Genomic DNA, 12010 nt, shown 5'->3' with positions numbered 1-12010 from the left:
AGGTAAGATTATCTTGAAGAGTTTTGTAAGCTGTGACACATTATTCAAATAGTAGTACATGACCATGTGTCAGGATCCCTGCAGTAAGGTGATGACACTCAAAATGAGTAGTTTAAGGACAGATTAATAAAGTATGTGCAAGGCTGTAGGCTGGGTATAGGGAATCAGTAAGACAGTACAGCGCCCCAGGCAGGGCCAATTTTACTGGGGTGTTGTTCCTACCCCCAGGGCTGAAGGAAGGAGGGGAGAAAACGGTCACAGGAACCCAGAGTCACAGAGAGCTCTGCACGATCTGACAGGGCCTGTGACCTCAGATTGATGAGGAAGAGAAGGGGCAGGGAATTCAATAGCTGGCCTCACCCTTCCTCCCTTCCTTGGTTCTGCTAATGCTCCTCATTGGCTGAGACTGACAGAAGCCAGAAGTCCACACAGGACTTCAGAGTACAGAGAGTGAGGGGAAGATTAGAGGGGCAAACAGCAACCATCTAGAACACACAGTGAAGTCGGTAGCAGGTGAAGAAACCAAGGATCAAAGCAGATCCCCAAGCAAGACCTCTCAGATTCATAGGCAGAATCTGGACTTGAATCTTCCCACCTGTCCATGAGAAAAGTCCAACTCTAAAACATTTGAAGAGATTTGTTCTGAACCAAATATAAGTAACACATGGCCCATGACACAGCCCTCAGGAGACCCTGAGAACATATCCCCAAGGTAGTCAGGGCACAGCTTGGTTTTATACATGTTAGGTAGACATAAGACATCAATCAAATACATTTAAAATATACACTGGTTTGGTCCATCAAACTGGGGAGTGCAGGGGGCTTCTAGATTATAGCTAGGATTTTTTAATGTTCTTATTGGCAATAGTTGAAACAGTTATTATCAATAGAAAGGAATGTCTGGGTTATAAGAGGTTATGTAGACCAAAGTTTTATCATGCAGTTGAAGCCTCCAGGTAGCAGGCTTCAGAGAGAACAGATTGTAAATGAAGCTTGTCCAGCCCATAGGCCACATGCGGCCCAGGATGGTTTTGAAAGTAGCCCAACACAAATTCGTAAACTTTTATGATTTTGGTGATTTTTTAAAGTTAATCTGCTATCATTAATGTTAGTGTATTTTTGTGTGACCCAAGACAATTCTTCTTCCGATGTGGCCCAGGGAAGCCAAAAGATGGGACATACTTGTTGTAAATGTTTCTTATCAGACTTAAGGTCTGTGTTGATGTTACATGCTGGTTGTCTTTTCATGAATTCCAAAAGGGAGGAGTGCATAATAAGACATGTTTGCACACCAGCCCCTTCCTGTCATGCCCTGAACCAGTCTTTCAGGTTAAAATTAGAGGGTCCTGACCTAAAGGAGGAAGTCCATTCAGATAGTTGAGGCGAGGGGCCTTCGAATTTTACTTTTGGTTTATAGACCCCATCGCTGCACATTTTTCAACCCCACTCTTTCATGGAATAATAGAAGGGTAATTTTCTCACCACATGGACAATTACAGAACACCATGCAGACTATGTGGGCTCCTGATAAACTGACTCACGTGCCTGTTATTTCACTTGCCTCCAGTTGACAATTATCCCTGTGGGTTCGCACTGACCTGACTTCCAATAAGATGATACTCCACCCCTACGATGGAAAGAGACTCCATGTACCTCCTTAAGTAATGCATCTTCATTTTCTAGAAACTCCTAACACACCAGGAAAATGTGAAGCAAATCCTGCTAAAATTCAGGAAGACTTCTTTTGAGGGGCCAAAAGAATGTATAGAAATAAAGGAAAATCATGGACTTTGTGCGAGAAATTGGAAAGTTCTGGCCTCTTAGGAAACCAATTCAGTACAATTACAGAGATAAAATAGAATTGGTCTTAAGAGAAGACAAAGAAAGCAGGAAAGGGTGACATAGATGTTTATTAGTATCTACAATCAACCAGGCCTTGTACTAAATATATTATCTTATTTAATTCTCCTCAGGAAACCATAGAGTAAGTGTACATAATGGGCATGTCAATTTGGCTACTCAGGATTTATTTCTCCTCTGTCTAGAAACAGAAACTAGAATATCCTTTGGGAAATTTGTCTGTCTTTATCCTTAACCATGAAGTTGAAAGAAAGAAGCTGGCCACACTCCCATTACTATGATTAGATCCTGATTGGTGCATACTAATCAACGTGTCCTGTCTCCCTGTATTACTTTGCTATGGCTGCCACAATAAATACCAGAGACTGGATGCCTCAAGCCACAGAAATTTATGAGAATATTTATTTTCTCATAAAATAAATTTCTGGAGGCTACAAACCCAAGATCAAAGCATTGGCTGGTCTGGTTTCTGGTGAGTCCCTGCTCCTTGGCTTGCAGATGACCATCTTCTCTTCTTTGTCTCCAAAGTCTTTCCTCTGTGCTTGTCCTAATCTCTCCTTCTTATAAGGATATGACCTTCTTATAAGGACACCAGTCGTACTGAATTAGGGCCCACTTATGAACTCATTTTACTTAATTACATCCTCAAAAGTCTTAGCTCCAAATACAGTCACTGGAGGTTAGTACTTTAACATGTAAACTCAGGAGGGGACAGAATCCAGTCCACAACACTCCCTTTGGCACAGTGACTGGTTCCAGGATGGCAAGAATTCCAGTCAGAGTCCATGAGACACAAGGAAATGTATATTCAGACTTCTGGGAAAGAGGAGTTTCCTCTCTTCCACTGGACTTGGTAGTATTCAGATATGAAGCTTGCAGTTCCTGCAGCCATTTTTATGCCATGAGGAAAGCCAACTCAAGATGAAATCATTACATAGAGGAAGGCAGAATAAAAGATTCAAGGAAACTATACCTGACCTGAGTTCAAGGTTTGAACCTCTGGACTACCCCTGGACTTATAAGATACTTGAGCCAATAAAATGCCTTTGGCTTTACATCAGTCTGAGGTGGACTTTTGCTATGCCCAAAATCAAAATTCCTAGTGGATATAATATTGTATCTTTATTTTTCAGTCACACAGCTAAGTGCTAACATTTGTGTGTATTTCTGGCAGAGGCCAAACCCCTGGCACTTGCTACTACGCCAAGTTTACTGTTTCCTCTAGAGAGCTGCAAGCTGAGCACAACTTTGGCCTAAACACAAATGGGTCCCTGATATCAGAACACAGTAATTTACCTATCCTTCCATACATTTCCCAGAACATCCTCCAAATCCAGTGTGTGAAAAGCTGCTCTAACATGAAGTCCAGCCAGTGACTGTGTTCCAAACTCCAAAGGAAAGCCTGGGTTCCAGAAATATCATCCATTCTGGTTAAACTTCTTAAAGATACTGAAGACTGGACATTTCCTTCAGTCAGTTATTTTGAAAGGGCAAGGACTTTGTTGTCCTCCTTCAGTTTCATTGACTTCAAGACGTTTACTGTGCCAGGCACTCTGTCATGTGCCGTAGGGGATCTAAAGATGAATGACTAGGACATAGTCCCTGCCCTGGGGATGCTCACACTGATCACAGTAAGGGAGATCTGCAAACAGCTAACAAAACACAAGAAGAAATAACCAGAAATGGGATCTTTCATAGTTTGTAAATAGGTATCTTTGTCCAGAGAAGCTAAAAGGAGCAAGCTGCCTCAAATTTGTGGTTGCTACCGTCTTTGGAAGGGGAAACTAGATCATTAAGCAGTACCTATTGAACTCTGAAATAGTAAGTACACAGTATTTTGCATTTGACCACTACTGACTTTAAAATGTTTTTACCACACTTTACAATGAAACAAGGTATGGACAAATAGAGAACCATGTGAGAAGCTAACATCACTCTGCCCCCTTTACAAAAGGAAAACAATGAGGCTATAACCATAATACAGTATAACTAAAACAATTCAGAAAATCATGGAATTAAGAGCATCTAAAAATATTTTTTAGGAATTTTTTTCTTCAATAACATGTTTTTCCTCTTGAGTTAATATGATTATGTGGTTATAAAATGAAGAGACTCTTTGGCTTGCCTTCTTTCAGTTTTGAAATGATGTCCTCATTATGTCAGCTGATGACTGAAAACTCAGAGCCAAAAACATGCTTAAGAGGACCCCAGAGTCAAACAAATTGAAATCCAGAGTGCCTGAAAATTTTACAATGATGGTGTCCAAAAGCATCATTCATTTATTTTTCTTATCATTTATTATAATCAAGTATTTAATTGAATGGTGCATTGGGCAGATTATTAAGTACTGTGAGAATTATAAAATTTACTTAAACAGCCCCTTTTATTGCAAACATTACAGTTCAGAGAAAACCTGACCACTTAGTACTGACCTACTGAATCATTTTGGAAAAAAGATGATTTTTCTGCTTCTTTTGAAATTGGTGTAACAAATAGCCCACCCAGAAAGAAATGAAATTTATTAATGTTTTAAAGTTTTAGCATTAGCTAAAGGGACCCACCTTGCTTGGATCTGCCGAATCTGAGAAGCAACATCTTGACCACAATGGTCAGATGGGAGTACCAGCTTTGCCCCTTTCTACAGCAATACCTGGAGGGATACTTTAACTGAAGTAGTATTCAACTTTTTATATGAAATGAAAATAGCATACATTGACCTCAACACAACTGTGCCCTACGACCTGCATTGCGCAACGGAATTCTGACTGTGTATTTCCAGTTTCTCATCCCTGTAACTCCAGGTGAACTCCCCAAAGGGTGCAGTTCAGAGAATGGCCCTATTGGACTTCTCTTGTATCCTGATCCTGTTTCTCCTTTTTTGTGTATTCATTATGCTGCCATGCCCCACAGTAGCCTGCATGGTGATGGTCACTTACCCATATAAAGGTCCCAGATTCCCAATCTGCATTTCCAAAAATTCCAAGTTCTCTTTAAAAAGGAAGATCAAGCTGAAACATGAAAGGTTCCCTTATCTCTCGCACAGGGCATATGATGGGGGTGTGGCTCACTTCTTCAGTGCCCCACTGCTCAGACCTCTAAGGGGAAACATGCAGATGGGCAGGCTGTGGGGCTCTGACCCCACAGCAGTACCCAGGGGTGAATGTTCATAGTTCCTGAGGCCCCAGTGGGCGTGTGTTACAGAGTGCTCTTTTAGGTTAGTCGTCCATAGGTGGCTTGTATTAGCTCAATTAAACCCATGCCTTATCACAAGGATAGAGGGCTTTCCGTATGCCTTGGTGTACCAGAAGAATCGGATCACACATGACCTCGGAGAATGAGCGCAAGCTTTTGAGTGGAAGTAGCTCTCAGCAGATGGGGGAGCCAGAAGGGAGATGGTTTTCCCCTGGAGTCGGGTCTCTTGGTGGCCTGGGCTCTCCTCTGACCGCCCCAGCCAAACTCTGCATCGTTCCACCAGTTGATGGCCTGCCAGTCTGCCAGTGCCTGTCAGCATGCTCCAGCCAATATGCTCCTCTCAATGTCCAGCCAGTTGTATGTTCTTCCACTGATGTGCTCCTCTCGACATCCGGCCGCTTGTGGTCACTGCCTGCTAGTGTCTTGGGGTTTTTATAGGCACAGGATGGGACGTGGTGGGCCAATGGTTTTGGAAAACGCAACATTTGGGCACAAAGGCAGGAGTGCCTATCCACACCTAGGTCTGTGGGCACAGGCCCGAGGGTAGAGCCCTAGAGCCAGGGACCTGCCTTTATCTAGCCAGTATTTCCCTGTCCCGCCCCCTCCCATATCCTAGCTACTCTATTCAAAAGTGGTCACTTTCCTCCAACACTATCTACTAAATGCCTTGTGACAATGAATTTGTATCCAGGAAGTGCTTTCTCATTTCAACCACATAGCTGAAAACTTTCTTTCCCTCTTTGAGCACTCTCTTGTCAATTGCCTCTAAGCGTGGCTATAGTGATGTAAGTAGATCACTGTAGTGATGAGGGAAGGATTGTAATCTACTTACTTTTGGTGGAATGAGTGTCTTCCATATTGGCATTTAGGTTGAAACTGGAGCAGAAATCAGTATCAACCCTGGCTGCTACAGTTCATTTTGCCATTTTGCCATTTATTTCCCATTAATTGTGTGGCCTACATTTGCATCTGAAAATTTGGGGTGTTATTGAGCAATGTATATTTGGAAAAGGATCCATGCTAGGAGCTATGGAGTAATAAAATAGTTCCTACTCTTGGGAAGTCACACTATCTACAGCGCAAAGACAAGATGCATACAATATAGCTTGAGCAGTATAAAAGACTCTTCATATCCTAAGAATTATGTCCCAAGACTTTCTTGAATTCCCAAATATATCACATAAAACTTTCATAAAATGTAGTCAAAAATTTAAATGGCACTGCCAGACTCCAGTGATTTTCTCTGCATAGGATGAAAATCATATGCAATATACCCTATTTCTGGCTAGGAACAATCACCTTTTTGTAACTCTTCAGTTGCTTTTTACTTCCATTACCAGAACCAGCAACATGTTTCTTTATGGGAAAAATTATGCTAAAAAAAAAACTTTTATACTATAGTTGCTGTGTTCACAAAGAAACATGAGATATGGAGGATGAATAGTCAGCTAAAGGCAGTCACTAGCCATATGCCTCACTTATGTAAGCCAGCCTCATAGTTCTTGGAGTTCAAAACAAATCTCAGTCAAATTTCCAATGATTACCCACCATGAACCTCCTAGGTTTTCAAAATTGGTTGATACTACACATTAAACCTATGAATGTGAAGCCTGTTTAGGGCAATTTTAGATGAGGCCTGGAATTTGAGCTGAAATTCCGGTAAAGTTATATAGGTAGAAAAGAGGAACACTGGTGGTGGCCATAAAAATGCACCTCTCAGATCTCCTGCCGGAGGAGTCTGTCCTCTGAAAACCACCATTGTATTTGTGCCAAGATAATGCTCTCTGTGGGCTGTTTCCACCCAATGACTGAGTTTGGCAGGAAAACTAAGGCAGGCACACTCTTAAAAGACGTGGGACTCAGACTCTTCTGATAGGCAACTTTGTCTCCTGCTGACTCTGTGAAAACTTTTATAGACCTTCACTACAGTCTAAGAGCTTCTTTCCTTCCTTCCTTCTCTTTCCTCTTAAGAGGCAGACCTACATCAAGGTCAGACAGTATTCCCAGCATCCTCCTGCTCCCTCTCAATTTTCCCTCATGATTTAAATCTCTTACATGTCTAATCCCATCATAGCATTTGCTTTCTGAGCACTTGAACTAATGCAACTACATTCTAGGTTGTTTTGGAAATTTGGGAGAGAATTTTTGGTTGTCACAACGATTGTGGAATTGTAGGGTGGAATCTCCTGCTGGTATTTAGTGGATGTGGTCAAAGATGCAAATTCTTTTATAATATATGGAATAATCCCTCCCAAAGAAGAACTGTTTCACATCTTCCATAATTTCTGAATGTCTTGCCAGGCATCCATATAGATGAAACATCTGTTTAAAATTAAACAGGCCTAGAACCTAACTCCATTTAAAATATAAACATCAAGTATTTTTTCTTAGTTTTAATATATGCTCAATTTTCTAGGAATGCAGCTACCTTCAAATCAAGGGAAGATTATCTTTATGTTGTTATTTACCAAGAATGGCTCATCATTTCAGAAAAGTTGCATCACCAATAGCAGTTCCACTTGTGATACCTGAGGGTATCAATCTGCACTTGTAGATCAGTGTTCTTTGCATAGTTACAATTATGTCATAGAGTTTATTTACACCCCAAAATGTGCATGTTCAAATAAATAATAATTTATTAATTTCTTTATATTATTCTTTTATTTTACATTTAGGGTATTGCCCTGATTTCTATGAATGTAGGTGGCGTTATATTACCTAACATACTTCCATTTCAGAATAGAACAGGGGGAAGTATAATATCCATGATAAACAAAAAAAGGAGAAGTGTTTAGTCTGATGGAGTATAAAACTTCTCAGAGTAAAAGAACAAAGTAGCTTTTAGAATGAGGGTCAAGATATCTTGGCAGGGGTAGATATGGTTTTCTCATGACCACAAAGTTTTCAACCATTCTCATCTTATAGCCTTACCTTGATGAATTTATCCTTGTCTGCAGGATCACTGATGAACTTCCCTATTCTTCCATTATAGAACTTGAGATTTAGCAACCAATGGCTGATGGGCCATGAGACAACTGGGACATTGGGTTATATACACTGCCCTTTTGGCTTAATGGTCAAAAGCTGTCAAGCATCTTACAGGACTCCATGTGGCTGTTTGCTTGCTTGCTTTGTGGAAGTTGCCTTAGCATTCCAATAGCTCAGAGATGCACAGTAAGAACAGAGAGTCTGGAGCCAATCAACTTTCCACAGCCCAGTTAACTGGTCTCACTTTCTTTGAACCAGATGGCCACCACTCCCAGATGTTACGTTGGTCTCATTTACACCTAATCCTTTGGATTGCCAGTTTCTGGAGTCCACACCATGCTAGAAAATTTAAGTTATACCTTGGGCTAAGAGCTGTTATGAGATCAGTATAATTTCCTATAAGATAAGCAGAATGCTTATGTGTAATTTAATCCCTCTGGCTCCGATAATCATTTGCAAAATGCCCAAAGGGGGCTGTGCATTTCTAGGCATTTTATGTTAAGGGAACAGAATTTAGAAAAGATTTGGTTTCTGCACTTTTAGTATGTAGCTTAGTAAAGCCAAACCAAAGGGATATCAAGAACAATAAACATTGACCCAGAGAAGTCTCATATTGTTAGGAGCAAAATTAATAACTCCCTGTCTTCTTAGAAGTTATTAATTATGTTATTTATTCATAGACACACCCTCTAGCACAGATACTGCAAAGTGACATTCGGAGGAGCGAGCTCTCAACTTAATGAGGGAGGAAGGAGCTTCAGGCTACAGGTCTACCCTAAACATCCTTTATCAATGTCCCAGAACTTTGCTTATGTCTCTGTTGCAATGTTTGCTACCAATAATTAGGTTTCTGGATTTTGAGTTATCCTCCAGCAAAAAAGAGACCCTATAAATTAATTGGTCATTTATGCTTATGGTTGTTCATCTTTTTAATTAGCAATACAGTTTGAATTTTATGAAATTATGCTGAATGCTATGGTACTTGGCTTCATATATAACTTATCACATAAGTAAACAAGTATTATAATTGTCTAACTATTCCTTGCTTTGGGGAATATGTCTTCTAATTAAGTCTTTGTTGATTCTTTCCCTGGAGTTAAATAGGCATAGTCCTTTTTATGCATTTTATACCCTGATAAAATGAATAGGCTCATGTGGCCTCTGATTAGACTTCATGAGTTCTCTGTATATGGTCATATATTTCTCCCTTTTCCTTCTTATCTTGGTGTATTAGTCTGTTCTCACAGTGCTAATAAAGACATTCCTGAGACTGGGTAATTTATAAAGGAAAAAGGTTTAATTGACTCACCATTCAGCATGGCTGGAGAGGCCTCAGGAAACTTATAATCATGGCAGAAGGTAACTACCCCCAGTGATTCAACTACTTCCCTCCAGGCCCTTCCCATAACACGTGGGGATTATGGGGACTACAGTTGAAGATGAGATTTGGGTGGGGACACAGCAAAACCGTATCACTTGGCCACTATATATCTTCATCTTATTGGGAGTTTCTATGGCAGTATACTACACTAGATGTTTGTTGACTCTGTAAAAAGGGACTATGTCTCTGATCTCTTGTTTAGTCCCATCTCCTCCTGGTACCCTACAGCGTTTTACAAAGAAGAGAGCCGAATAAAGTGGCATACTTCTAAATTCTAGGCTCAAAAGGAAAAATTCCAGAGCTCACTATGTTACCCTTAGTTAACTGCACATCAACCCCTCCTCCATATTTATCTTGCTATCAGGAGCAAAGCAGATCTTTGGGGCCTTTATCCTCATTCAATACTTTTTCTTAGCTAAAAGCTTTCACCATTACCCATTTTTTTCTTAGAAAACATGGAAAAGAGATTCCTTTTTCAATAAGAAGTTCATATGGATTATCTCTTTGTCTTAAGAGGTCTGTGAATCAAACAGGAAGAAAGAAAAAAATATGTATTGAATATTTACTGTGTGGCACATAGCGTTGTTAATATGAACGTCTTATGGAAAGAAAAGTAATCCACTAGTGGGAGTAACTTAACCAAAGTCATGATCTAGCAAGTGGTAAAATAAATCTGTGACTCCATTGCCCCCACTCCTTCCACAACTCCCTCCAAAGAAATGGGAAGGTAAGTTCAGATTTTGAAAAAGCCAGTGGTTATGTCACAATAGGCAGAAAGCCAGATATGAGCAGAAGGGAAAAGTCTGGGAAGTCTCAAGCCTGAGGGACCACCCAAAATTTGCATATTAATAGCATCGCTAATGCTGGAGTGGGTGAGCAGTTAGTCAACTGTGAGTAGGAAGAAGAGGTGCCTAGGCAGAAAGGAAGGCCCTAGAATGCCTCTTAAGTTCCCCAATACTCTGCAGTTAAAATGTCAGGATGTCACAAGGTACATACTGATAAGGAAAGAGGGTAAAAAGGGAAATTCCTAAGAGATACACCAGCATCATAAGCATATATTAGTACAAAGAGGAAATTCCTAAGAGATACACAGTTGCAAGAAATATAGATTTGACTGCTATACAGCCTTCCTGGAGTGGCAGTAATGAGCAATGCCGCCATTAGGCAAGATTTGTATTGATTCCTGGCGCACATATGCGCATTACTCAGCAGTAAGGAAGGGTCCCACAAGCCTGGGAGGAAACTAGGTGAGGACAAAGGTGGGGATCTAAGGCAGAAACAGAAACTAAACAAAGAAAAAAGGCAGATGAGACAGAAGTGGGAACCTGAAGAAGGAATCTGACATGATAAATAAAACTCACAGTTCAAGACCCTCAGAGCTGTTTTCCCACAGGATCAGCCCACTCTTCCCTTGAAGTGTACTTATTTTTCCCCCTATAATAAGCTCTTTGCTCCCTATTTCCTATTATAAAGGTCTCCACTGTCTTTGAACCATCTCTTGGCCGAAATCTTTCTCCGAAGTTAGATACCGGGGACTTCTTCATTTCCTGCTAACAGTTTCAGTAACATTTTGAATACTTATGTGCCAGGTATGGAGTGGTTTCTTTATATAAATTAATTCAATTTTAAAAACAATTCTCCCTAACCTGTTTTTCTTCTGTATGTTGGGAATGAGGAAGTTAGCAGGCTATAGTCTTCTCTACTATTCATCATACTCCCTTTATAGGTGAAGGAACAAAGAGGTCAAGTAACTCGCCTGCCTAGGGTCACACAGGAAATAAGTAAAGGAATCAGAATTAGAATGCAGCTAGTCTGGTTCCAGGGTCCATGTGCTCAACATCAGGCTCTACTTAACCTTGGGGTAATGGGGAAAGTGATGAGTAAAAGTGGCAATGTTCTACTAAAAAGGGAATAATTTAAAAGAGGCACACAAAGTGAGATTTGACTTGTTGTCTGTGAAGTTCAGTCATAATTGGCATCGGCTGTGTATATTGTACTGGTGCAGTGGAGTCCTGTCATAATGTCAGTGTTAGAGTGGGTAGGCAGACATAAGCAGGGGAGGAGAGGCCCCCTGTCATCCCTTACCACCCCCTCCACTCCCCACCACCATCCCCATTCTACACCCACCACCCTGCCCAGGAATGTCAGGTGACCATCAGATGATGGTCAGGCAGGTGTTAAACTCTTTAAAATAATAATTGCTCGCAGCCAGCACCAGGGAAAAGGAGTTACCCAATAGACAGAAAACACCTGAAACTGGTGATCTCAGCTTCCCCATAAGATCTCAAGAGTGAGGGAGCGGGCTCAAGCATGCACACTAAGAGGCAACATGGTGGTGTTTAACTGGTATGTGACCTTCCTCTGGGAACACCCGACTGCAAAGAAAAACACCTCAAATGAGCATGTGCACAACTTCAGTGAACACACTGCACATGTGGCCCCTCCCAAGTGCTGGCAGGCCACTGTGCATGCAAACAGCCCAGCCCAAGGAAAAATTAAGGGAGAAGAGATGCAAACCCCAGAACCATGCCAATATCTAAAACTCCAAGCCAAGGGTCAGATACAGCACTTGGACCTCCCAAGTCGCCT

At 41.0% G+C, this 12010-nt stretch overlaps 3 annotated features.

Annotated features, from left to right (window-relative positions):
- Positions 3604-3673: an enhancer, noted in NCBI's record as "active region_28125". NCBI's record gives its function as "activates an Ori minimal core promoter by ATAC-STARR-seq in GM12878 lymphoblastoid cells {active_cell/tissue: GM12878}" and the evidence as "EXISTENCE:reporter gene assay evidence [ECO:0000049][PMID:35858748]".
- Positions 3754-3803: an enhancer, noted in NCBI's record as "active region_28124". NCBI's record gives its function as "activates an Ori minimal core promoter by ATAC-STARR-seq in GM12878 lymphoblastoid cells {active_cell/tissue: GM12878}" and the evidence as "EXISTENCE:reporter gene assay evidence [ECO:0000049][PMID:35858748]".
- Positions 10402-10903: an enhancer, noted in NCBI's record as "OCT4 hESC enhancer chr9:1515455-1515956 (GRCh37/hg19 assembly coordinates)". NCBI's record gives its function as "activates a minimal SCP1, AML or CMV promoter by ChIP-STARR-seq in naive H9 embryonic stem cells {active_cell/tissue: H9 hESC(naive)}" and the evidence as "EXISTENCE:reporter gene assay evidence [ECO:0000049][PMID:30033119]".

This window comes from Homo sapiens, chromosome 9 (genome assembly GCF_000001405.40).
Source record: "Homo sapiens chromosome 9, GRCh38.p14 Primary Assembly".
Classification (NCBI taxonomy): Eukaryota; Metazoa; Chordata; class Mammalia; order Primates; family Hominidae; genus Homo; species Homo sapiens.
The sequence above is the reverse complement of the archived record's forward strand: the minus strand, read 5'-3'. Positions and strand labels throughout refer to the sequence as shown.